Below are 27,024 nucleotides of genomic sequence, written 5' to 3' on the forward strand. Positions count from 1 at the left end.
GGTCCCTGAAAAATTTAATACTGCATACAAACTATAACTTAATGTATTCAGGTGAGAAAAAAGCATAAATAAGTACAATGATACAAAACGTAAAACTACAATGGAAAGCCAGGCGAGGTGGCTCATGCCGGTAATCCCAGCACTTTGGGAGGCCGAGGCGGGTGGATCACAAGGTCTGGAGTTCGAGACCAGACTGGCCAAGATGGTGAAACTCCATCTCTACTAAAAATAAAAAATTAGCCGGGCATGGTGGCGGCCGCCTGTAGACCCAGCTACACAGGAGGCTGAGGCAGGAGAATTCCTTGAACCTGGCAGGCGGAGGTTGCAGTGAGCCGAGATCGTGCCACTGCACTCTAGCCTGGGCAACAGAGCGGGACTCAATCTCAAAAAAATAAAATAAAATAAAAAATAAAATAAAAAAAATACAATGGAAAAATAACTATTGTAACAACACAAACATACAAAATGACTTTATTTTGAACACTGTATGCAGAGAGATTTGAAAGGTTAGATGACATTTAACCTTTATCCTTAAACAGGGAAACACAGTTCATGAAATTAACTTCTTCATCAGAGATAGAAAGCTTAGATGAACTTATACAGAAGAAATAGACTTTGACAAAATAATCAGACCCAGATGGTTTTTCAAAGACTCTACCCAACCTTCAAAAAAGATACTTCCAAATGCTACATAAGTTGTTCCAGAGCATAGAAGCTAAAAAAAAGGAGAGAAAATTCCAACTTCTTTTTAGCAACAAACACATAATATGAATATCTAATTCAGATAAAGGTGCCATAAAAGAAGAAAATTACCAAACAACATTACCTACAAATATCATGTCAAATGTCCTAGATAAAATTTTAGCTAGCAGAATTCAACATTACATGAAAAAATGATAATACATAAACAATTAGGATTTATTTATGTAATGCAATGCCAGTTAAATATTGGAAAACCCATTAACATAATATACCACAGTGTGATAATAAGAAATACATATTTAGTCTTTGTTCCTAGTTTCTAACACAGAACTTCTAAGCCCTCTGAATTTCCTGATTGATGAGGTGAGAGGAACCCCTTTTGTTATACACAATAAACCCCTTTCCGCCATATCTGAGCTCATGATAAGAAGGTGACTCTTGATGGGCCCCTATATAGCCCCAGCATAGACCGGGTTGCAAGAAGAACGAACAATATAATTAGAGAGTTGGAACTTTCTGCCATACTCCCCAACCTCCAGGGAGAAGAGAGGGACTTGAGATTGAGTAATCACCAAGAGCCAATGATGTAATCAATCATGCTTCCTAATAGAACTTCCATAAAAACCCTACACAGTGGGGTTCAGAGGGCTTCTACATTGGTGAACACATGGAGGTTTGGGAGGGTGGTGTGCATGCAGAGGTACCCCTTGCCACATACCTTGCCCTATGTGTCTCCTTCATTTGGCTGTTCCTGAGCCACATAATTTATAATCAACTGGTAATAGGAAGTAAACTGCTTTCCTGAGCTATGTGAGTTATTTTATAAAATCCTGGAACCCAAGAAGGGTATCCTGAGAACCCTTGATTTTTTTTTATTATTTTTATTTTTTTTGTTTTTATTTTTTTCTTTTGTTATTATACTTTAAGTTTTAGGGTACATGTGCACATTGTGCAGGTTAGTTACATATGTATACATGTGCCATGCTGGTGTGCTGCACCCACTAACTCGTCATCTAGCATTAGGTATATCTCCCAATACTATCCCTCCCCACTCCCCCCACCCCACAACAGTCCTCAGAGTGTGATGTTCCCTTTCCTATGTCCATGTGATCTCATTGTTCAATTCCCACCTATGAGTGAGAATATGCGGTGTTTGGTTTTTTGTTCTTGCGATAGTTTACTGAGAATGATGATTACCAATTTCATCCATGTCCCTACAAAGGACATGAACTCATCATTTTTTATGGCTGCATAGTATTCCATGGTGTATATGTGCCACATTTTCTTAATCCAGTCTATCATCGTTGGACATTAGGCTTGGTTCCAAGTCTTTGCTATTGTGAATAGTGCCGCAATAAACATACGTGTGCATGTGTCTTTATAGCAGCATGATTTATAGTCCTTTGGGCATATACCCAGTAATGGGATGGCTGGGTCAAATAGTATTTCTAGTTCTAGATCCCTGAGGAATCGCCACACTGACTTCCACAATGGTTGAACTAGTTTACAGTCCCACCAACAGTGTAAAAGTGTTCCTATTTCTCCACATCCTCTCCAGCACCTGTTGTTTCCTGACTTTTTAATGATCGCCATTCTAACTGGTGTGAGATGGTATCTCATTGTGGTTTTGATTTGCATTTCTCTGATGGCCAGTGATGGTGAGCATTTTTTCATGTGTTTTTTGGCTGCATAAATGTCTTCTTAGAAAACCTAGGCAATACCATTCAGGACATAGGCATGGGCAAGGACTTCATGTCTAAAACACCAAAAGCAATGGCAACAAAAGCCACAATTGACAAATGGGATCTAATTAAACTTAAGAGCTTCTGTACAGCAAAAGAAACTACCATCAGAGTAAACAGGCAACCTACAAAATGGGGGAAAATTTTCACAACCTACTCATCTGACAAAGGGCTAATATCCAGAATCTACAATGAACTCAAACAAATTTACAAGAAAAAAACAAACAACCCCATCAAAAAGTGGGCGAAGGACATGAGAACCCTTGATTTATAGCTGGTTGGTCACAAGTATAGGTAGCCTAGGATTTGCGATTGGCATCTGCAGTAGGGACAGTCTTGGGGACTGACTGAGCCCTTAACTTGTGGGATCTGACACTAACTCCAGGTAAATAGTGTCAGAATTAAATTAATTGTAAGATGCCCAGCTTGTGTCCCAGAATTGGTTGATGTGGGAATAAACTCTGCACACTGAGTGTCAGACGTGTGAGGAAAAACAAGTCATACATATTAACAGACCTAAAAAAAATCTTTATTTGACTTATAAGAGCTTTTTACAAACTCAACATTGCTTCTTTAGAAAAGTTAAAAATTAAGAATTAATGGATGCTTTCTTACGTAATATAATACCTTTAAGTTGATCATTATCCCAGAATCTTAATTAATGGAGAATAACTAAAGTATTTTCACTTATATGGGGAAAAAATAGTATGCACACTATTTTTACTACCACTGATAATTCTTCCTGAGGTATCAGCAAATTTAAGTAGGAAAAAATCCATTAGAATCTTAACTGCAAAAGAAATATTAACCAATTTTTATTTGCTGAAGATATTATTATATACCTAGGAAACCCAGGAGAATCAATGAAAATTTCTCACCATTTTAAGTAACGATAAAAATTCAACAAGGTAGCAGGAGATAAAACTAACTTACGTAAGTCAATAGCCTTCATAGATTTCACAAATAATAAGTAGATAGATGATATAATGATAGAGAAAACCCCATTTACAATTGCAGTGCACAAGATAATGTAGTTAGAAATAATAGGAAATTTGCAAAACCTATATGAGGTAAACTATAAAGCGCTACTCTAAGTCACAGGTATAATCTTGGGCAAATGGACATAGCCCCTGCTCCCAAGGGAAACAACTCAATATCATGAAGACATTAAATTTTCTTATGATCATTTATAAAATTCATGAAATCCACAGAAAATATCAATAGACTATTTTTAGACACAGTCAACCGATACTAAGTTTATATAAATAAGCATGTAATAATAGGCAAACACTATTATAGATTTAAAACTACAAGGATTGCAGGATGGGAGCTCCTACCCTACAATATATTGAAATTATATATATATACATATATATTTTGGAGAAAGAGTCTTACTCTGCTGCCCAGGCTGGAGTACAGTGGCTCGATCTCAGCACACTGCAGCCTCCACCTCCCGGGTTCAAGTGATTCTCCTGCCTCAGCCTCCAGAGTAGCTGGGATTACAAGAGTGTGCCACCACGCCCGCCTACTTTTTGTATTTTTACTAGAGATGGGGCTTCACCATGTTGGCCGGGCCTGGTCTTGAACTCCCGACCTCAGGTGATCCACCCACCTCGGCCTCCGAAGTGCTGGGATTACAGGTGTGAGCCATGGCACCCGGCCAAGAATGTTGTTTTAATCTTCACTTCTGACTATATTAATATTGCTGATCTTATCAGGGCATTTATATTTTATCTTCTGTAAGCCAGTCATATTATTTTAGTGGGGCATGAGAATTTTCCCCAATTGATATATGCAAGCTTTATATAGTACTTTAACATTCACATGTCAACTTATTTGTGAATATTTTTTCAGTCTATAGGTTTTGGTTATTATAGTACAGACACTGTCACATCCATTGATGTTTTCCTTTCTTTCATTTCTTTGATGCTTTTTCTTTTTCTTAAAGGCATTCTTCAATCAATATTAGATAATCACCTATATTTTTCTAGTGTTGAATGTCATAGATAAACTTATACTCTGATCCATCTGGAATTTATTTTGATATGCAATATGATGAAAGGTTATCAAAATATGTTTTCCACGTGGCTAGTGACTGTTCTAAATTCAATGTATTTTAAACACTTTATCAATTCATTTTGCCTTTTACTCTCATCTAAGAAATACAGGCATCAAAGTTCAAATAAAGAATTGTGCAATGTAGGCCAGGCGTGGTGGCTCATGCCTGTAATCCCAGTACTTTGGGAGGCCAAGGCAGGCACATCGTCAGGTCAACAGGTCGAGACCACCCTGGCCAACATGGTGAATCCCAGTCTCTATGAAAAATAGAAAAATTAGCTGGGCATGGTGGTGCGTATCTGCAGTCCCAGCTACTCGCTACTTGGAAGGCCGAGGTAGGAGAATCACTTGAACCCAGGAGGCGGAGCTTGCAGTGAGTTGAGATCATGCCACTGCACTCCAGCCTGGGCAACAGAGTGAGAGTCTGTCTCAAACAAACAAACAAAAAAAAAAATTGTGTAATTGTGTAAAGTAAAAAGTAAAACTACCTTTCATGTTCTTAATTCCAATATCCTGAGATAACCATTTTAAACACACTATGCGTATTCCTAATCGTTCTTAGCATATTCTTTCCTGCACATACAGTTATTTCCACCCTTAACTAGGGTCAATTTCTGACTCACATTATCTTTTCATCTGACTTGATCATAATTAGCAAAAGTAGTAAAAAAAAAATACCTTTGTAAAATTTGATAAAATTTGAACCAGCCTAAAGATACAAAGGATTTAGATATATGGATGGCTGTGTTAATTATTAATGGTCAAGTAGGAATTCTAATGTTTTTGGCCAGAGGCCATTACAAAGCTTCTTGAACAAAGACATATATAATTCAATCCTTAGCAACAGCTAGGAAGGTTCAGAGAGAGTAGAGTTAGAAAGAAATTCTGAATATAAAAACATACAACCTTCTACAATCAGAAATTATTCAGGTCCAGCCATCCTGATATTAATAATGGGGTGTCATAAAAGATGATAATCCATATTTTACCACTTCCTGCCCCCTCATTCCCATATAACTCCCTGTCCTCTAAGAATACTTCCAAAACATATTAAAGCCCCATAGCAGCCAGGCACGGTGACTCATGCCTATAATCCCAGTATGGTGGGAAGCTCAACCAGGCAGATCGCTTGAGCCCAGGAGTCTGAGAACAGCCTGGGCAACATGATGAAACCCCGGTTCTACAAAAAAAAAAATGAAAAATTGGCTGGGTGTAGTCACGTGCACCTGTAGTCCCAGCTACTTGTTACTTGGGAAGCTAAGGTGAAAGGGTCTCTTGAGCCCAGGAGGTCGAGGCTGCAGTGAGCCATGATTGCGCCACTGCCTTCCAGCCTGGGGAAAAAAGCAAGACCCTGTCTCAAAAAAAAAACAAAAAACAAAAAACAAACAAACAAAAAACTTTAATAAAGCCCTAGGCTTTATGCACACTAATTCATTGTTTCACAGTCATCTTTCCCTCAAAGATGCTTCTATTTTTCTGCTATGATTTTTAGCTGCTTCTTATACTTCACCAGCCTTCTCAGCTTATGAGGAGATTAGTTCCTTGTTGGTCAAATTTGTTCCATGTTTAGCTTTGTCATTTCCGGAGCTTTACCTTGCTAACTCTTGTTGAAATTTATTGTAAAGAGTATTCAGTGAAAGCGGCAGGAAAAATGAATACTTCCTCTAACATTTTTCACTACACACTGATGAAAGGGACCACAGGGATGTACTGTTTGTGGAACAAATTTTTTCTGCTAAACCAGTAGAGTTTCTGCCAAACTGACAATGAAATTAGATATCATCACCCCCTTGAGCTCTTCTGTGTAGCTGGAGCAGAAGAGGATTCTAACTAAAGAATATTTACAAAACTTCTTTACATCCTAGAGATTTCGGTCTGCACCAGTATTGATTGTTTGCGTAAGGCCCAAAGCCTGTGGGAATGAACTCAGACTCAAAACTGAGGCCTCAGAAATATACAGACCTGTCTGATGGTCACTAACAAAAAAATTTAAAAAAAAACACAATACCATATCACAGAACATAGACCATCACCTGGCACAGAGCAGGTGCAAGCTAAATGTGGGATGATTATATATGAGTCAGCAACTCCCTCCCCTAAAACTCCTAAGGCACATACCAGCTCACATAGGACCCTTAAAGTGATGAAAAATATGTGCCACACAATCATTATTGGGGACGTTCGAGAATATTTGAGATTGAGGGTTAAAGAAGAACTTCAAATTTTTGCTAGGTGATAAGGTAAGTGCTCAGAACATCAAGATTAACAAATATGCCACACTAGTGTGAATGGGCAAAGTATTGAATACTTGGGTGATTTTAATGAAAGAGTTTTGTAATGTTTGCTTATGGCTCTCTCATTCCTTTGAAAAACACAGGAGTAACCAGTGGTCTTTGTCAGAGAACAAATTCAAACCAAACTGCTAGACTCTTGTACTCCAATGGTTACTGACCTCCAGTAACTAAAGCTTTGGTACTAGGTATAGTTAATCATACCTAGTTATTTCTTCTCTTAGAATCACTTCTCTCCCGCAAAAAGCTGCTCTGTCCCCTGAGAGAAAACATATGTGGAAGCATGCCACCACTTCACACGCCTAGATACAGCCCAATAGAGATACAGCTCATGTTTTGTTCCCAAAATTGTCCCCAATCATAAGAAGAATGGCATCTGTTGGGTCTGGCCCAGCCATTCACCAAATACAAAGTCTGCAGTAGATATCAGAAGGCTATGCTATAAATCAAGCTGAAGTTCCTGTTCTATATGAACCATTTCAAAACTAGTTATATAAAACCAATTAATGTGAATAATTAATTAAAATGTCAAGAATACAAAGCTCTGATTTTGAAGAAATACTGATAAGAGACATTTTGCTAAATTATCATTCAATAAACACACATCGAATTTCTATGCTGATTTTATCACTACTTAACGAAGTTTATAATTATGGGAAAGAAGTCTAATGATGGAGTGACCATATGTCCCAATTTGCCCTGTATATAATCTCAGGTTACATATGATGTTCCAGGCTAATTAGTTTCATGCTTCAAAGTGTCCCACTCTGGATAGCAAATAACACGACTAGTAAAAAGACATGTAGCCTCACAATAATACCAATGGTAGATGTTAAACAGCAAAAAAGAACATGTGAATTAAATGTTAAGGTGCTCCCAGGAGGTAAAGATCACTTCACACTAACGCATTTCCACTATAATTAAATTTTGAGAAGTGACAAAAAAATGTGCTGCAGGTATAGAGAATGTTAAGAGCAAACACTGGTTGGGAAAGAGTGAAACATATTCAGCGGAAAATGGTCCTCTAGTTTTAGAAACAATTTAGTGAGGTTGTAAGATCAGGGACTGTACAGTTGAATGTAGGCCAGACCACTGAGGACCTTCAAAACTCAGCGAAGAGGTTTGAGCATTATTTGGCAGGAAGAGTGGAGAAACTACAGAACTTACAGGCATTAAGTAACACGCTCCAAATTTGTTTTGAGATTTTTTTTTTAACAGAATATTTTGAATTTTCTTTTTTTTCTTTTTTTAAATTTTATTATTATTATATTTTAAATTTTAGGGTACATGTGCACAACATGTAGGTTACACATGTATACATGTGCCATATTGGTGTGCTGCACCCATTAACTCGTCATTTAGCATTAGGTATGTCTCCTAATGCTATCCCTCCCACCTCCCGCTACCCCACAACAGTCCCCAGTGTGTGATGTTCCCCTTCCTGTGTCCATGTGTTCTCATTGTTCAATTCCCACCTATGAGTGAGAACATGCGGTGTTCGGTTTTTTGTCCTTGCGATAGTTTGCTGAGAATGATGGTTTCCAGCTTCATCCATGTCCCTACAAAGGACATGAACTTATCATTTTTTTATGGCTGCACAGTTGTTTATTGCGGCACTGCTCACAATAGCAAAGATTTGGAACCAACCCAAATGTCGACCAACGATAGACTGGATTAAGAAAATGTGGCACAAATACACCATGGAATACTATGTTTTGAGAAATTTAACTTGGAAAGAGGTTTTAGAATAGATTGAAAGATAATTGGTTGTTATAGGGAAATATTTTATTTAAAAAATAATCCTTTAGCTATGTCTAATTACTTGTATTATGATTACTTTATTTATTTATTTATTTCTTGAGACAAAGTCTCACTCTGTTGCCCAGGCTGGAGTGCAATGGCACCATCTCAGCTCACTGAAACCTCCACCTCCTAGGCTCAAGCAATTGTCCTGCCTCAGCCACCCTAGTAGCTGGGATTACAGGCATATGCCACCATACCCGGCTAATTTTTGTAGAGACGAGGTTTTGCCATGTTGGCCGGGCTGGTCTTGAACTCCTGGTCTCAAGTGATCCGCCCGCCTTGGCTTCCCAGAGTGCTAGGGTTACAAGCGTGAGATACTGCACCCAGCCTCCTTGTATTATTTTTAATTGGCAATTCTTATTTGTAAGTCCCAGTTGAGCAAAATTAATTAAAGCAGTCCTAACTGAAAATGTTACGTCAGAGGACTTGTGCTGGCAAAAACACCTTTATAAAGACTCCTGAATCTTGCTTGGGGAATGAAGATAGCAAGAACTAATATATCCCATAGTTTTCATGATGAAGAAGCTATGTAGAGTTGAGTTTAGTGATGTGCTGATAGATGATTAACAACTGTGTGTAGGAATTGGGGTGACTGGTTTGTATCGTTTGGTGATTTTCCTGTAAATGCTCTCACGATAGGGGATTTCAAGCTCTCTTCATAGATTAGTGAACATGGAGTTGAGAGAGATGCGCACAGGTGGACTCATGAACTGGTGTGAACCAGCTCCAGTACACTATTAAGAGAATCCTCCCAAGTAGACCAAGGAGGCAATTTCTAGTTGTAAGTTAACTAAGAAGCCCCTTTTGAGGAATATGCAAGGTGTGTGTAAATAAAATAAAACACTCTAGGATACATGCCACTAGGGTCAAGCAATTAAAACCATTAATTCTAGGGTAGTAGTGGAAAAGTATATTATAATGATGCCCTCACTGGCCACTTAGTCTACCAGGTGGTTGTGCTATGGTCCACACCATACCTTTCAAAATGCACCAAGCTGCCCAGGCTATCGATAGAATGAAGTTAGAAAACACAACAAAGTGGGTCCATGAACGAAACCAAGGCTAAGTCATTCTGACTTTGAGTGTAGAGATAATAGTCCATGGGGTCTTGGTACAGTGATTTTGTAACTTATACTATGAGGTAAATCAAAACTTTTATTTACTTTAAAAGTAATACATTAAAGAAAGAAAAAAGAACAGAGAACAACCAACCAAACAAAAACAAAAAAACAAAATCCAGGAAGAATGTTAAGGAAACCTAAAATGCATGTTTAATAACAAATCGAATACACTCACTCCTTAGTATCTGACAGGGATTGGTTCTAGGATCCTCCAGAATATCAAAATTCACAGATGTTCAATCCTTTATGTAAAATGGCATAGTATTTGCAAATAACCTACACATATCCTCTCCTATACTTTAAATCATCTCTAGATTACTTATAATACCAAATACAATGTAAATACTATGTAAATCGCTGTTATACTCTACTTTTAATGTCTATTATTCTTTATTGTTTATTGTGGGGTTTTGTTTTTATTTTCTAAATATTTTTTCCAAATATATTCAGTCTTCGGTTGGTTGAATATATAAATGCAGAATCCACAAATACAGAGGCCCAACCATATTACACTTGCATTTCTCAGGAAAGTGAAGGGAGAACATGGAGTCAAATCAACACTTATTGAAGGTTGAATGCCTGATATAATTGCACCTGCTATGATAAATTTTGTTTAAAACTTCAGTATCAATGATAAAAATCTTTTGACTGCATCATGGTAAAAAAAAAAAAAACATTCTTAGTAATTGAAAAGTCTATGAAAGAGAAATACACATAAAACTGGTTGTGGTCCACACAAAATTAATATTTTAATCCAAAAAGCTCTGAAGTTCTAGAAAGCGGATTAGAAGCTGTGGCTGCAACAGTTGTATATTTGTACAAATCTGATACTGAACACACATAAAAATATACTTGCTCCAGCAGTTCACATTTTCTTTCTTTTTCTCTAATCATCAAACAGTTTTTAGAAATGTTTCAGGCACTGTAAAGTGGTTTGTAACTCAACTTCTATGTTGTATATTTTCAAAAACTTTGTAAAATAAATTATTTCTCTAAATTTGGTTTACATTTTGTTCAAAAGCAATTATAAAGCTTTAATCATTATTATAGAAATGGGCTGCCAGAAGTTCATATTTCAAAAATCTTAATTACAAATCTTAAAAACCAAGCTTAGAAACAGAATACTAAAATCAATGCCTATACATGCAAGACAGAATTAGACAAGAAAAATTCAAGTTGTGTGTATATTTTAATATTAAAATTCTATAATGGTATTTTGGAGTATCTTGAATTCTAGTTAGCATATTTTGATGAATCTTGTATTTTGAATTAAGTTCATATTGTTTAATAATAGAATAAAATGGCGAAGGCTAGAATTTCATAGAATCTAGTTTTGTTGAAAGATTTGATGTTTGCCAAAGTAAAGTACTTACTGAGGAAGGCTATGCTGAATGGAGTTAAAAATGTGAAAACACATTTATGTTTGTTTGCTTTTTTATAGAGACAGGGTCTCACTCTTTGGCTCAGGCTGAAATGCAGTTGTTCAATCATAACTCCTGGCCTCAAGTGATCCTCCTGCCTCAGCCTCCTGAGTAGCTAGGACTACATGTGTGCACCATCACACACGACTAACCTTTAAATTTGTTTTTCGGAAATACAGTGTCTTGCTCTGTTGCCCAGACTGGCCTCGAACTCTTGGCCTCAAGAAATCCTCCCATCCTGGTCTCCCAAAGCACTGAGATTACAGGTGTGAGCCACAATGCCAAGTCACATGTATGTTTCTGAACAAAAAACTAAAATTAAAAATATCCACTATGTAGTATAATTTAAATTTACCTCTTGTCAAAAACCTTTACTTGTCAAAAATATTACTATATTCAGAATCAGTTTAAAGTGTTCACATTCATTCACTGTAATTACAATTTGAAGATCATTGCTGGTAATTTTATTTTAAATGTTGCAAGAGTTATTATTCTGCTTTTAAGGTTTTTAAATATTAAGACAATAAAGATGTGATATTTTGCTTTATTTTAAATGAATATTTGCAATTTTTATATTTTTGGATGGCACTTTAAAAACACTTTTCTGAATAAAAATATTTTATATGTTGAGGAGCACAAAAAGTACATTAATCAATTAATACATATTTTAAAAATATATAATTTTATTATTGTTATTTACCAATTACTCCCATTAAGGTTCTATTTAGGTTACAATGAGTTTTAGTCTTCATCTGGTCTTTGCATTTTTAGCTATTTAACACAAAGATCATTCTAGAATACAAATAATAAATGTATCAAAACCCTGAAATGAGAGATAATGAGGATAGAAGAGAGAGAAGTGGAATGAAAGAAATGGAAAGATGAAAGTGGCTTACCAAATGTAGAATCTGTAGAACCTTGTGATTAATCATACACAATATAAAATTGTAAGAAAAACACACAAGGTGACTGTGCAGTATGGTCTTTAGTAGGAGTAAGATATTCAGGAAAAGGAACAATTTGATGTAAAATGGTAAATTTGAAGTGAAATGCATTATTAAGCAACTGGAAGTTTGGTCCTAGAGATGAAAAGAATAAAACATATCATTTAAAATATATATTGCCTGATACGAAAAAAAGTTAAAAAAATCCTAATTTCCAAGGACAAAAAGAGATCAAAGACAAAATTTCAAAAATAAAATATCACAGTTGCAGCCATGTGGAACAGGAAATGAAGATATAGGTGCTGAGGCCTAGGAGCTGGGCATCTGGCACACCCAGAGAAAAGAGAATTGGTCAACAATGCCTGTGACTCAAAACACTTTGCTATAAGAATGAAAAAAAGAGAGAGAGACAGATTAGGAGAATATTTTTTCTGTTGGCCTGGAAAATGGTGAGAGATTATACCATCTATCTGATGATTTTAATTTTAAAATAAATATGCACATACACTATGAGAAATAAAATTCACTGGTCTCAGCAACGAATGAGTAAAATATCAGAATTTTTATGGTACGAGAACTTCAACCTGAAAAATAAATGTTGAAACCAGGCCAGGAAAATAAAAGCCCTATAGTTCAGATAGAATAAACTCCAATTTTAGCTTTCCAAAGTCAAAGAATGGGTGGCAAATCCTTGAAGATGAACAAGCAATGATGGAGTTATTAATGATGTAACAGTCTGTACAACAAACCTCCATGATGCAAGTTTACTATGTAAAAAACCTGCATATGTACTCCTGAACTTAAAATAAAAGCTCAAAAATTAATAAAAAAGAAAAAAAAAAAGAAAATGAAGCACTGTGAAAGAGATTGAGGTTATTTGAAAAACAAAGGAATTAGCATTAAAGATACCTCAAATAAAATACTTTAAAATTATCTGAATAACATTGTACAATAAATATCTTTTAAAATCTATTTCACAGACAAGAAAAAAGCATAATATAAATAAAAGACACTATGAGATATAAAGTAGGAGACATTCAAAACCACCAATTTTAATTTTTAGATATGAAAAATAGATTCATTCATAGAAGAAAACTCAGTGGATCAGCTATGTGGCAGATTAAATACTGTTGAGGTGAGTATTAGAATACCGGACAATATACTTGGAGAAATCACTGACAATGTAGTACAGAGATATAGAGACATATTAATATAAATGAAAAGGCAAAACGACTGAGAGTATAATTTGAAAAGTTTCCAGTAAGAGTGTAGGAGAAAATAGAAGAAAAGTAATATTTTATCAATAACATGTAAGAATTTTTCAGAAATAAAGAAAAATATAAGTACTCAGATTAAAAAAGTAAATCATGTTCAAAGTAGAAAATAATATAAGCATACTGAAAGTAGACATCATGCTGAAACTGCTAAACATGAAAGACAAAGAGAAAATCACAAACTAACCTGACAGGAAAAAAAAAAAAAATAGGCTAACAAAAGTCATGATAATCACAAACAAAAGACTTTTGTAATGCCTAAAACAACGGAATGTATCAAACCTGAAACTCTAATCAGGGTGAAAAATAAAGATCGTCTTAGACAAAAGCTTAGAGAATTTGTCTTTATAGACTCTTGTAGAAAATTAGTACTTAAGAATATGTTTTAGTAAGAAGAAAAATATGCCCAAGAAGTGTTAAGCGGCAAGAGGAAATGAGAATGAAGAAACTCGCAAAGAGCAAACATCTGGCTAAAACTGAGCAAGTATTTTTCAATTTAAAAAAAATAACTATGACTAATATTTGAGAATGTGTTTGTTATTGTTGTCTAGTGTCTTAGTTTTCTCAAAATTGATCTGCCTAAAGCCATATGAAACTAATTGTAAAGCACTGACCAAGGGTATCAGAACTTCTCACAGTATGAAGTAAATGACAAGTTAAAAACGGTGTGAGTATTGAGAAACGAAGACGGGGGATTTTTGTAAGTAGGGGTTTACAGTTATTTTCTTCCTGCAAGACTGAAGAAAAAAACAAAATGAGTTATCCGTTTGTAGAACTTTAAAATAACTTTGATGATAAATAGACTATGAATTTTATTGCCATTAAATAAAAATTCCATTCCCAGGACATCTATTTATTTAGGACATAGAATTTGTAGCCATAAAAGCAAATCATATTAATAAAATTGATGCTGATTTTTATTTTATTCTAGCAATAAGTAATAATCATCCTTGGATACATGGCATATAGAAAGGGCAATAACATGTTCTCATTAAAATTTGTTTCTAATAAAATATTATTTTGTTTAATAATTTCATATTAAAATACGTACTATATTTACATTGCTTTAATCAACTGTGTTCTAATAATTGTAATAATAAATCAGTTCATAAGAAAAAATCATGTTTAGAGCACTAATGGTGACAAATATTAGTAATTTAAAAATTAAATTTGCATATATATGTAGATAAATAAAAGACTTTTAAACACAGAGGATAAATTCCATAAGGAACATGAAATTTACATGAAAGTTCAAATAAAAGAAACACTGAAAAATTCTGATTTAAAATTTTTTTAAAAACAATAGATCATGGTAAGCATTGAAACAGTATGGCATGTAGATTTTACTATATACATATAAAATAAGATTGCAGTCATTTTAGGTTGACACAAAGTGCACCTTTTGAAGTTATTTAAATTATATGAAAATATTTAGATGCTGACTTAATAATATTCTAAGTATGCATAATTTTTCACAATTTCATTGGCAGTATATTAGCAAAATATCTGGTGAGCAATATTCTAAAGCGTGTATATTTTTCTAGAAGATTATAGAGATATTGATTAACTTTAAATATTTTAAAAGTATTTTTAAAATAGTAAAATGTCCAACTTTGACACCACTCATGAGAAATCAGAGAAATAAAGTTTACACGTTCATTTAAGAAGGAAGAATAGGTTGGGGGGATATCCAATGAAAAAGCATAGCAAATAAAATAAACTTCTGACCTACTTCCAGATTCAGAAAACTAAATAAAACATAACATTAAGTGACTCCTATCTCAAACACAACTCCATAGTAAGTCTCTAGGGCTAAAGCAACCAACCCAATTACATATGTCCTTAATTAAGGCTCTAGGGGTGATCTGAAAATGGATTGATGTAATGCCAGGTTTGAGAATGGAAAAAGTAAGACTGGCCAAACAAAATGATCTTCTGTCATCATCAATGAAAACATTTATTCCCAAATAGGTTCAGTCTTCTGACAGTTAAAACTTCTTTAACTTGGATTTTTTTTTCCTTCTTATAAAAGTTGTATACAATTATTACACATATAAACAATAAGAACAAAGAAACAAAGAAAAAATTCATGCATAAAGATAAAGTCATTGTTAAGACTTTGGTCTATGTTGTATACCTATATACTAAGAGATTCCATATGTATCAAAAAAGATTAATGTTGTAACCCAGATTTTGTATTCCGGCCCATAAGGACTACTGATATTTTTCAGGCAGGGAGTACTATGTTCAGGGGCAGAAGTAGGAAGTGTGGCTAGAGGAGAAGCCATATTATTGGACAAGGCACCAGTTAGGAAATCAGCCCAGTATTGCATAGATGGGTATGAATTAATGCATTAAAAGGCAGAGAAAACATTATTATGTGATCGCTTGGATTTAGGGATATAGTGACGAACGGGAGTGTTTTAGTTTGTTCTAATATTACTATAAAGAAATACACAAGACTGGGTAATTTATAAAGAAAAGCAATTTAATTGGCTCACATTTCTTCAGGTTGTACAGGAAGCATAGCAGCTTCTGGGGAGGTTTCAGGAAGCTTTCAATGGTGGAGCTTTGCAACTGGTTGTTTTTAAGTTGTTTAAATGCTCCTGCCATGTCCTGCTCCTGCCACATCCTCTTTAGAAAATTCACTATTGCAAGGACAGTACAAACGGGGAGATTCACACCCATGCTCTCATAACCTCCCAACAAGCCCCATCTCCAGCAATGGGGATTACAATGTGACATGAGATTTGAGTATGGACACAGATCCAAACTATAGCAAGGGGAGATGGAGAAAGCTTAAATGATCCCCAGGTTTCTGTCTTTATTTAATCTCTTAAATATAATATTTCAGATAAATCACAAAAAAAATTATCAGTTATTTTAATTCAATAATAGCTACACTTTAATGCATAGCTTGTTCTCTTTACTCACACTTCATTCTATTTTCTCATATTAGAACCAATTTTCTACTCAAAGTTTACTGCTGAAATTTTTTCTCATATTGTAGCTAAACTAAAATAGGTGGCCTTCTAGCTTTTAGATGGTATGAAAAATTGATTCTCAAATTTAGTAAGATTCTCTAGATAGCATAGCTAGTTTTAATCATCACTGAACTGAGGAGCCCATGGTAATCAAAATGATATGAATGAGTTTAAGGCTGGTTATTGCCAAATTAAGACAAGAGTAGAAATACGGTATTTGCTGATGTGGAAAATTGGAATGCCCAGAGATAACAAAGCAGATTGTACTATATTCATTTCAGATATAGGGGTCCATGTACATACACCTTAGAACAGTCCTGCTTTGCACACTGGTACCAGGTCTATTTTTATTCATTTTATAACATAGGCAGATAAACTATGGTTACTTGAAATACATGAATAAATGAATACTATATCCATATAAAAACAGAACAATTATTTTTGGACTTAGCAAATTATAATAAAACTATATGTGATTTAATAATATGCATATTTATCATTAATTTTTCTTTGGCTAATACATGCATATTTAAGACTTTTAACTTGAAAATATCAAATTCTAAGTGAGATTTGCACATGAGCTGTAGTTTGTATTTGTTATCTTTATGTTCTAATAAAATATTAAAATAAAGTTAGAGTTTATATTTTTACCCTTTTAAATAGAAAACTGTTAGCTTACTTTTTATTACACTTTGTACTTAATTAATTTTTATAATTTTCAGGAGATAGAACTCAAACTGTACTGGTAATACCCTCAGTAATTATTCCAGGTAGTGATTTCTGTGGGAGCCATATGAAAGGCACGTATAAAGAAGTGCCTATGAATTATCCTTTAAAAAATATATCTATGTTTTCTGAAGTCCAATATGCTTGTCTGATACGTATAAAGGATAAAGTAGTGCGATATTGATATAAGAGTTAAGAAGAAATCACTTTGGCAGATAGTAAATATATGGGAGTCCTCAGTAAGGCTTTTCTCTTTAATGAAAACCAGCCCCAATCATTTTCTAACAAAAAGCAGCCTGTGAAGTCCAGCTGCAGACATAGACAAGCAGGCTGGGAGCTTACACAGATGAATGCCAGCAGGAACTAGGACTAGACATGTTCAAGATGGCGACTCCATCTTCCCTTGTCAACCACATGTACTATAAAGAGCAGACAAAATGGCGCTGATCAACTGGAAAGCCAATTTACATAATAAGATTACGGTGGGGCGACCAACCTTCCCCACTCACTATGTAAATGTCAAACTTGATCTAACCAACCTGTGAGCCCTATGTAAATCAGACACTGCCTCCTCAAACTAGCATAGAAATTTCGGTGCATTCACCATCAGCTGGTCCTTTCCACTGAGAGACCTTTTTCTCCATAGAGAAAGCTGTTTCTCTTTCTCCTCTCTTCTGCTTATTAAACCTCTGTTGCTCAATTCCTCCTGTGCCCATGTTCTAAATTTTCCTGACATGTGACAACAAACCCCAGGGTATACACCCTAGACAACCCAGCCGCTTCAATATCCTATATTTATAAACAAAAGCAAATAATCCCTGTGCTCAATAAATGCATTGACTTACAGATTCTAATGAACTCTGAACATTCTACAAAGCGCAGCATCTTGGGAGAGAATTTTCTATTGCCACCTTTCCATAAATTAGCTTTCAAATTTCTGACCATATTTTAAAATATATATTCATTTCTCAGCTTTGTGCTTTGATATGTGTACTTTAAAGAAGCACCTTTTCTTGAAAGTAACTGTTAATATATCCTTAAATGATGAGTTTTATTTAAAACATTTTATGTTCGCAGGAAAACAGATGTAGCATACAAATGACTACTGCTGTGTCCTGAACTACTTCATGCACTGCCCTACCGCCCCCCACCTTTTTTTTTTTTTTTTTTTTTTTTTGAGATTTAGTCTCACTCTGTTGCCCAGGCTGGAGTGCAGTGGCATGATCTCGGCTCACTGCAACCTCTGCCTCCCAGGTTTAAGTGATTCTCCTGCCTCAGCCTCCTGAGTAGCTGGGACTACAGGCATGCGCCACCACACCCAGCTAATTTTTGTGTTTCTAACAGAGACTGGGTTTCACCATGTTGGCCAGGATGGTCTCGATCTCCTGACCTCGTGATCCACCCGCCTCGGCCTTTCAAAGTGCTGGGATTACAGGCATGAGCCACCGTGCCCAGCCCACTTCCCTACCTTCTACAGCCTCAAAATGCATACTGACATCTAAGAAACACTTTTTAATGATGACACATGTACATCTTGAGACAAAGTTTGATTCCTGAGATCATGGTTGGTTTTACGAGCCTTTTCTAGCATTCTCATTCATGCATTCATTCAGCAAATTCATGTTAACTGCTGATCCTGTCATAGACAGTAATCCGTGGGTGAAATGAAATGACAAAGGCCTAAACTACCACTGTGGTAGTAAAGATAAAGTGGAAATAATTGGAAATAAAGAAAGAATCAGGATTGTATTTTCAGCGATTGGGTGGAAGTACTAATTGACAAAAAATCATGAAGGTAAAAAAAGGCTAAATAATGAACATATTGTGTCTAAGTTGCCTGTTGGAAAATGTTGGAACCATTCATGCTTCCAAGCATTATGTCAGTGCATGGGTGATATTGTGCAGATATCAAGAACACAATTGTCTGACTACTTGGATTTGTATCTAGATTTCCATTACTTACTAGATGGTGACATGGACACGTTCCTTAATCACTTGGGAACTTTGTTTCCTAAATTGTAAAACTGATGTAGTGATAATATCTACCTCAGACAATTCTGAAGATTAAATCAAATTAAATAGGCAAAGTACTTAAAACTCTAAGGAACATAGAATGTGCTCAGTAAATACTCTATAATTATTCTGTTCTTAGCTTTTCTCTCATCATCTAGATAATATCTCTGACTTCTTTTATGTACTGTAAAATGTTTCCAATACCACTTGGTGATTCAAAAATCTCTATATTAAACATAGCCTTTGCCCTTGAAAATTCAGATGCATGTATTCAACTAGAAGTTACTATTGTGGTAATAAAGAAATAAAAGAGTAGGATTCTGAAACAGAATAGAATTCAGTGTTTATCAGTCAAGTTAGCAGAAGAAAAAACATGACATAGGAAGTATAGCATATTTAACAGGAAGGATTTAAAAAGAGACTATTGCAAAGACAGGACACTTTACAAAGGGTGGGTTCCCATATAATCAGCAATGGCAGAATACACTTGGGCTAATAACAACAGAGTCCAAAGGTCCAAATGGACTAGGTGAAGGTACGGCTACTCTAAACAAGAAAGAAAGATAGAAGGTGTAATATTGAAAGGAGTATTGATTTTCAATTATAAGATACAGCCAGTCAGAAGTGACCCCACAAAAAGTTACCCTGGGAATCAATACTCTAAAATACCCTGACCCATTTTCCAAACTTCCTCACATAACCTAGGTGGGCTACTTGTTGAATGAACATAACCAGACATCAGATGGCAAAGGAGCTCAGAGCAAGTATCAGGATATAAAATCGATCTGCAGGGGCAACCCAAAGTTATCTGGCACATAATGCCTAAATGAGTGGCTTCCAATACATGTGGAATCACTACTTAAAGTTACTGCAAAAAGTATCTGTTCGCTTCTCAATAAATTCTGATGCCTTTGTAGCAGAGGACAATTTCAGTTTCAAGAGGATCAAACTAAGAGTTAAAGTGAAGTCATCATTTACATCTAATGTATCCTCACTGTATGTGCGTTTATGATCGGAGAGAGGGTACGTACAAAAGAAATCATTTTTAAATGTAAGACCAAGGTATGGGTACCATTTGCTCCCTCTTCTTGGCAATACTTAGCTCTGCCATCTCATGTTCTCATACCTTGTCAGTATTCTAATACTCTTTAGATATGACTGGGAAGATTATTTAAGTCCTCAGTAAATAACTCTTATATCTGCTTCTTATTTTAGTTCCTACGCAATATACTTTCAATTTAGTGTAAGGTAAGGACTTAAAATGAACACATTTTCTGAGCCAAAAAATTGTATATTCTTGTAATATTTCCCTTTATTGTTCTAACTTCTTATTGCCACTAATATTTGATAAGCCCTGAGGAAAAGGGAGTGATAACTGAACAATGGTTCAGATGAAATTCCTGATACCTAATCCTCATGGAAAATGGTGAGAATTTGATCACTTAGGCGTGAAGGATTTTGTGATGTTATTCAGCTCATTCCCTATGCCTCCTAATACTGTCACATTTATTCATTCACCCAATATTAAGTACATAAACATGTAAACTTTCTCTTTACTAGGGTCTCGGTGCTAGGGATATAATGGACAAGATAGACAAGGCCACCCATTCTACCACATATTGCATCTAGACAACCTGGTAGCTAATATAACGACTGATTATTAAATTCTCCCTTCAAATTCTTCAGGGGTTTTCTGAGAGCAATTTTCATGGTCTACTGAGGGCTTATTTTTGAGCTCAGATGAATAGAGTTACGAGATAGTGAGCTTTCAGTTGACGCTAGTCATGCTGTCATTTCTCCTATGCCCAGGTTAAGTCACAACCCTAAGGCACATCTCTAAGAGATCAAATAGCATTATTGTGCATTTAAAAAAAGACAGAGGACCAGATTGGCTTATTGCAGGGAGCTTAGGTTTTAACCAATGGAAATGTGCTGAATTGCTTTAAGAATAAATTACACTTCTCCTTTATAAGATTGTTGTTGAAAATAAATGTTCCTATAGCAAAGTTATTTGAACTTTACAGGACTCAAATTTATCATCTTAAAATGAGTAATTTTACCTATTCCTCTCAACGTTACGTAAATTTTAATACTGGTACTTACCACTATTCTTTGTGCTTTGCTGTTTTCTATAATTGGAGGTACAAAATTCTGACTGACTTTTCACTTCACCTTGAGAGATGTTTATTCCTTATTCTCTATTGAGATACATTAGAAATATGAGATGAGGCTATTTATAATTTTTGTAAATTTGATAAAAGTTAAGGATGTTCGAATATAGTATTTCTGATGTAAAAACAAGCACGAAAATTAAATTTAGGCAATTTATAATTAGGTCTCCTTCCCAATTAAAATAAATATTAATGCTTCTTATAGGTATTCACCATTTAATAATTATTAAAGTAATTGCTTTAATGGCATAATTTCTTTTTTTCTATTTTGTGCATTACCATAAAATAATTATAAATCAAGCTGTGATAGTGTCCAAGTTACATTTTATGTGAAAGACGGAAGTAACTCCCTGTTCCACTGTACACAAAAGCCAGCAATATTATTGCATATAATACATGGTAAAGCAGTATTTTTTATTCTCACAAATAAAGCATACCATTACTTTCTCCAAGTCAGGCAGCGATGAGCCTAATCTCATCTTTACAAAACACATTCACAGTTTCTCCTGATTCAATATGAAGGGCAGGTGAATGTATCTGAGATCTGAGGAAATCTTCCCAGTATTGCAAAAGCATACTAGAGTTCCCCTTCATCATCTGTCACCAGCATCTTCATCCCCTTTTAGGGTACATCGAAGGTCTTCCACAAGGTGCTTCGTCTAAGATTGTCAACCCTGAGCAGAGCCATGGACACTTAAGTTTCCTTCTTTCATCAAGACAACCTTGCCCTGCATTTCACTCCCCTGAGCCCTGCTCTCTGATTACAGGCAGCTAGACATTCTGATGAATTCCCTTGAACGATGGAATTTTCTTCCTCTCAGAATGCTATTTAAGTTAATGGTTCAGACCATCAACTCAAAGGACCCTTTTTGTGACCCTCAATTGACATCAACTCAAGGGACCCTTTTTGTGACCCTCAATTGACATCAAGTAGTCTAGATTTTCCCTGTCTGGAAAAACAAAAGAGTGGAAGGGAAGGACAGGAGCACTGTGTGCCTGATAGACCTGAATTCAGCTAATGACACCGCTGTTTCTCTTAGCTTTTGGAAGGTGGGAGAGTTATTCGAGCATTCTAAACTTAGTTTTCTCAGCTTTGAAATGAGAACAGTGTGACCTATTCCTTAGCAACATTGCTTGAGTTACATAAAGCTATACACCTTGAAGGTGTCCTGATTACTGATAGTTCTCACTGTTCAAGCATCCTTTCCTCCTAGATGTGAACTCCGTAAGGTTCTTTTCACTTTTGTCACTAAAGGCCTATCTTATAACCATTTATTCATAACGTGGCCAGCCTTTGGCCAACAATTATAGAACTTTATTTTGTTGAATAAAGAAGCTGAGGCAAAATTAATATAGAGTGTTTATTTGGGGTAAGGTTGAGGACAGCTGTCCTGGACACACTTCCAAGTTGCCTTGGGGAGTGCTCTGGGAGAACAAAGAAAAGGCTCAAGATTTTTATTTTTTTTAAAAACTGAGGAATCAGAAAAGGAAGTAATTACAAAGGGTGCTTGTCAGAAATTCTTCCTGATTTACAGAAATAACATTATTTATTGGATATGCATTGTTAAACTACAGAGTCTGAGTTATAATGTCCAGCATTGATGTTTTATGGCTACCTGGTGTTGGTTAGACTAGAGCTCACATAGCAGGTGGCTTTGAGGTGATTATTTAGCTCAAGGTGGGAGTGAGACATGGCTGCTGTTTCATTCCAGTGTTTCTTTGGGCCTGATAATTTAAAGGGGCTTGCATTCTTCCGTTACAATTTTCTTTTCTTTTTAAATTTCAACAAGTGTAAATGTTCCTTGAAATAACCTTACTTGAAATTATTAACAATTTTTCCTAAAGGGAACATTTCTTTTTCCAAGCTACAGATCTCTCAGGCCTGTTAAGTTCAGAAACCAAACGTGATCATTATTATTTTGAGAGCTGAAAAGAAAGTGGCACTCCCATTGTTTTTGCTGAGCAGAAAGGCATTTCAGAATTTAAAATATTGTTGTGTATCTTTCATCAGATTATTTTCCTGTTAAGTGTCAGGGTTCCTTGGAGTCCTTTTTATTGAGATTTTTGTATAATACTTATTGTTTGTCACAAAATAATCTGTGACCATAATTGCTTAGATGACTAGTAAATCCAATTTCACTTCTTACCAGTTTTCATCTTACCAGTAGAATCTGACAGGCCTGGGCATCCACTTGCTCTTCAATAGTGCCTGCCATGGATTTATTCAGTGATGCTCAATCACACTTGACAGGCTGGACTTCTGTTTTTTAAAATGTCTTTCTCATGGTTTGATTTATTTATGCCTGGATATATAGGTTCTTTCTCGCTTCACAGATGATTTGTTAAAGAAAAAAAAGTCCCAGTCTTTCTTCCTGGAAATTAGAATCATTTTCCTTTAGACAGACATTCTGCAGTATGTTTTTTTCAGTATTTTGCAAATGCAAAATTGTGTGCCCTTTATTCAACTGTATAATGAATATTTGAAAAGAAGATAATATTTTATTCATTGCTTTAAACTTCTTCAGAACATATTATGCTTTGAGCCTAATCAATATTTTTCAATAACTGTTGATGTATTTTACATTTTCTAAAATAAGCCTTTTCAAAGGACTAACAAATAGCTGATAATATTAATCTACAATTTGATTTTTAACATCCTTATTGAGCTACACTTTATATGCTATAAAGTTTACTTCTTTAAAGTGTAATTTAATGTTTAGTATACTTCCAAAATTGGGCAATTATCAACATCTAATTTTAGAAACTCCAACCTGGTTACTACTCACAGAAAGCCTGTGCTCATTAGCTATCAGTTCCCATTTTCCTCCCCCGTTAAGCCCCTGTTCCCTTCCCCCAATAAGCCCTAGGCAATTGCTAATCTACTTTATGTCTCTATATATTTGCTTATTCTGAACATTTTGCATAAATAGTATCAAACAACAGGTGATCTTTTGTGAGTAGCTTCTTTCACTTGGCTATTGTTTCCAGTGTTCATCCATCTAATAGCGTGTATTGATACTTCATTTATTTTTACTATAAAATAATATTTCATTATTTATATAGCAGATTTTATTTATCCATTCATCAGTTGACATTTTAGTTGTTACCACTTTCTGGCTATTAAGAATAATACACATACAAGCATGCATGAACAAGATTTTGTGTGGATATATGTTTGCATTTCTCTTTGGTAGATAGAACATTTACCACTTTGTAGCTATTCACAAAGTTGCTACCACTTTTGACTATAAAGAATAATACATATATAAGCATGTATGTATAATTTTTTGTGTGGATAGATGTTTGCATTTCTCTTTGGTATATGCCTAAGGGTCAAATTGTTGGGTCCCACTGGGCATTCTATTCCAAGCAAGATTATCTATAATGAGATAGAAACATCTTTTAAATTATCAGGTTACTTTGCTTTATAAAAATATATTATGTGACCAGACCACATACTGAATACATGAACTTTGCATGTCTTAAATATTTTATGATCGTACTATCTTGTGCAATTTTTCTAAAGGCCTATTCTTGAGTCTGTGTTTTTAAAAGTGCAAAGCTAAGACTTTGTAATCAATAGTATTTTTTTTTACAGAAAAGTAAAATATATGCACACATATAAAAAAGAATTGAATCCATAGAGTACTCAACAATTAATTAGCATGGCAGCACAAGTTAATTTGCTTGTGGATCTCCAAAGAGTTTAAATTAATTTATGTAACTGAATAAGTGTTGTGGTTGTGTTTCTGTCTTGTTTTGTTAAATATGTTTCAAACAATGAAAATCAAACCATAATATGTGAAGTCCTAACAATCAGTGGAACATGGTTTGGAAACCAACAATTCACTATAAGCAGGCCAGTTTCACCCTGTACGCTGACCTCCCTGTGTAATTAATGGAAGGAAAGCAGTCCACACTGTGCAAGATACAGCTCCATTTACACTTGTAACAGGCAACTTTGCTAGATTAATCTTGTCCAAACTAATGCAACAGCATGTACAATTTCTTACCTTTCTTTGCATTATGCATATCAATAAAACACATAGGTCATAATCAATACTTAACTCAAATATACATACATATATATAGTTTTATTTTTATTTATTTTTTTTTCTTTAATTATTATACTTTAAGTTTTAGGGTACATGTGCACATTGTGCAGGTTAGTTACATATGTATACATGTGCCATGCTGGTGTGCTACACCCAATAACTCGTCATCTAGCATTAGGTATATCTCCTAAAGCTATCCCTCCCCCCTCCCCCCACCCCACAACAGTCCTCAGAGTGTGATGTTCCCCTTCCTGTGTCCACGTGATCTCATTGTTCAGTTCCCACCTGTGAGTGAGAATATGCGGTGTTTGGTTTTTTGTTCTTGCGATAGTTTACTGAGAATGATGATTTCCAATTTCATCCATGTCCCTACAAAGGACATGAACTCATCATTGTTTATGGCTGCATAGTATTCCATGGTGTATATGTGCCACATTTTCTTGATCCAGTCTATCATTGTTGGACATTTGGGTTGGTTCCAAGTCTTTGCTAATGTGAATAATGCCGCAATAAACATACGTGTGCATGTATCTTCATAGCAGCATGATTTATAGTCCTTTGGGTATATACCCAGTAATGGGATGGCTGGGTCAAATGGTATTTCTAGTTCTAGATCCCTGAGGAATCGCCACACTGACTTCCACAATGGTTGAACTAGTTTACAGTCCCACCAACAGTGTAAAAGTGTTCCTATTTCTCCACAACCTCTCCAGCACCTGTTGTTTCCTGACTTTTTAATGATTGCCATTCTAACTGGTGTGGGATGGTATCTCATTGTGGTTTTGATTTGCATTTCTCTGATGGCCATGGATGATGAGCATTTTCTCATGTGTTTTTAGGCTGCATAAATGTCTTCTTTTGAGAAGTGTCTGTTCATGTCCTTTGCCCACTTTTTGATGGGGTTGTTTGTTTTCTTCTTGTAAATTTGACTGAGTTCATTGTAGATTCTGGATATTAGCCCTTTGTCAGATGAGTAGGTTGCGAAAATTTTCTCCCATTTTGTAGGTTGCCTGTTCACTCTGATGGTAGTTTCTTTTGCTGTGCAGAAGCTCTTGAGTTTAATTAGATCCCATTTGTCAATTTTGTCTTTTGTTGCCATTGCTTTTGGTGTTTTAGACATGAAGTCCTTGCCCATGCCTATGTCCTGAATGGTAATGCCTAGGTTTTCTTCTAGGATTTTTATGGTTTTAGGTCGAACGTTTAAGTCTTTAATCCATCTTGAATTGATTTTTGTATAAGGTGTAAGGAAGGGATCCAGTTTCAGCTTTCTACCTATGGCTAGCCAGTTTTCCCAGCACCATTTATTAAATAGGGAATCCTTTCCCCATTGCTTGCTTTTCTCAGGTTTGTCAAAGATCAGATAGTTGTAGATATGTGGCGTTATTTCTGAGGGCTCTGTTCTGTTCCATTGATCTATATCTCTGTTTTGGTACCAGTACCACGGTGTTTTGGTTACTATAGCCTTGTAGTATAGTTTGAAGTCAGGTAGTGTGATGCCTCCAGCTTTGTTCTTTTGGCTTAGGATTGACTTGGCCATGCGGGCTCTTTTTTGGCTCCATATGAACTTTAAAGTAGTTTTTTCCAATTCTGTGAAGAAAGGCATTGGTAGCTTGATGGGGATGGCATTGAATCTGTAAATCACCTTGGGCAGTATGGCCATTTTCACGATATTGATTCTTCCTACCCATGAGCATGGAATGTTCTTCCATTTGTTTTTAT

The 27,024-nt window shown here is 35.3% G+C and overlaps 1 protein-coding gene across 4 annotated transcripts in view, besides 1 other annotated feature; it reads right to left on the bottom strand.

Annotated features, from left to right (window-relative positions):
* SGCZ (sarcoglycan zeta) overlaps positions 1-27,024 on the bottom strand; it is a 1,153,587-nt gene that overhangs the window by 291,081 nt on the left and 835,482 nt on the right. The window lies entirely within an intron of this gene.
* Positions 19,872-20,041: an enhancer, noted in NCBI's record as "experimental_102145 CRE fragment used in MPRA reporter constructs". NCBI's record gives its function as "activates a minimal promoter by MPRAs in K562 erythroleukemia cells, with activity observed for both the introgressed and non-introgressed 8:14253391 variant alleles {active_cell/tissue: K562}" and the evidence as "EXISTENCE:reporter gene assay evidence [ECO:0000049][PMID:34662402]".

The sequence above is a fragment of the Homo sapiens genome, chromosome 8 (assembly GCF_000001405.40).
Source record: "Homo sapiens chromosome 8, GRCh38.p14 Primary Assembly".
In the NCBI taxonomy this organism is placed as follows: domain Eukaryota; kingdom Metazoa; phylum Chordata; class Mammalia; order Primates; family Hominidae; genus Homo; species Homo sapiens.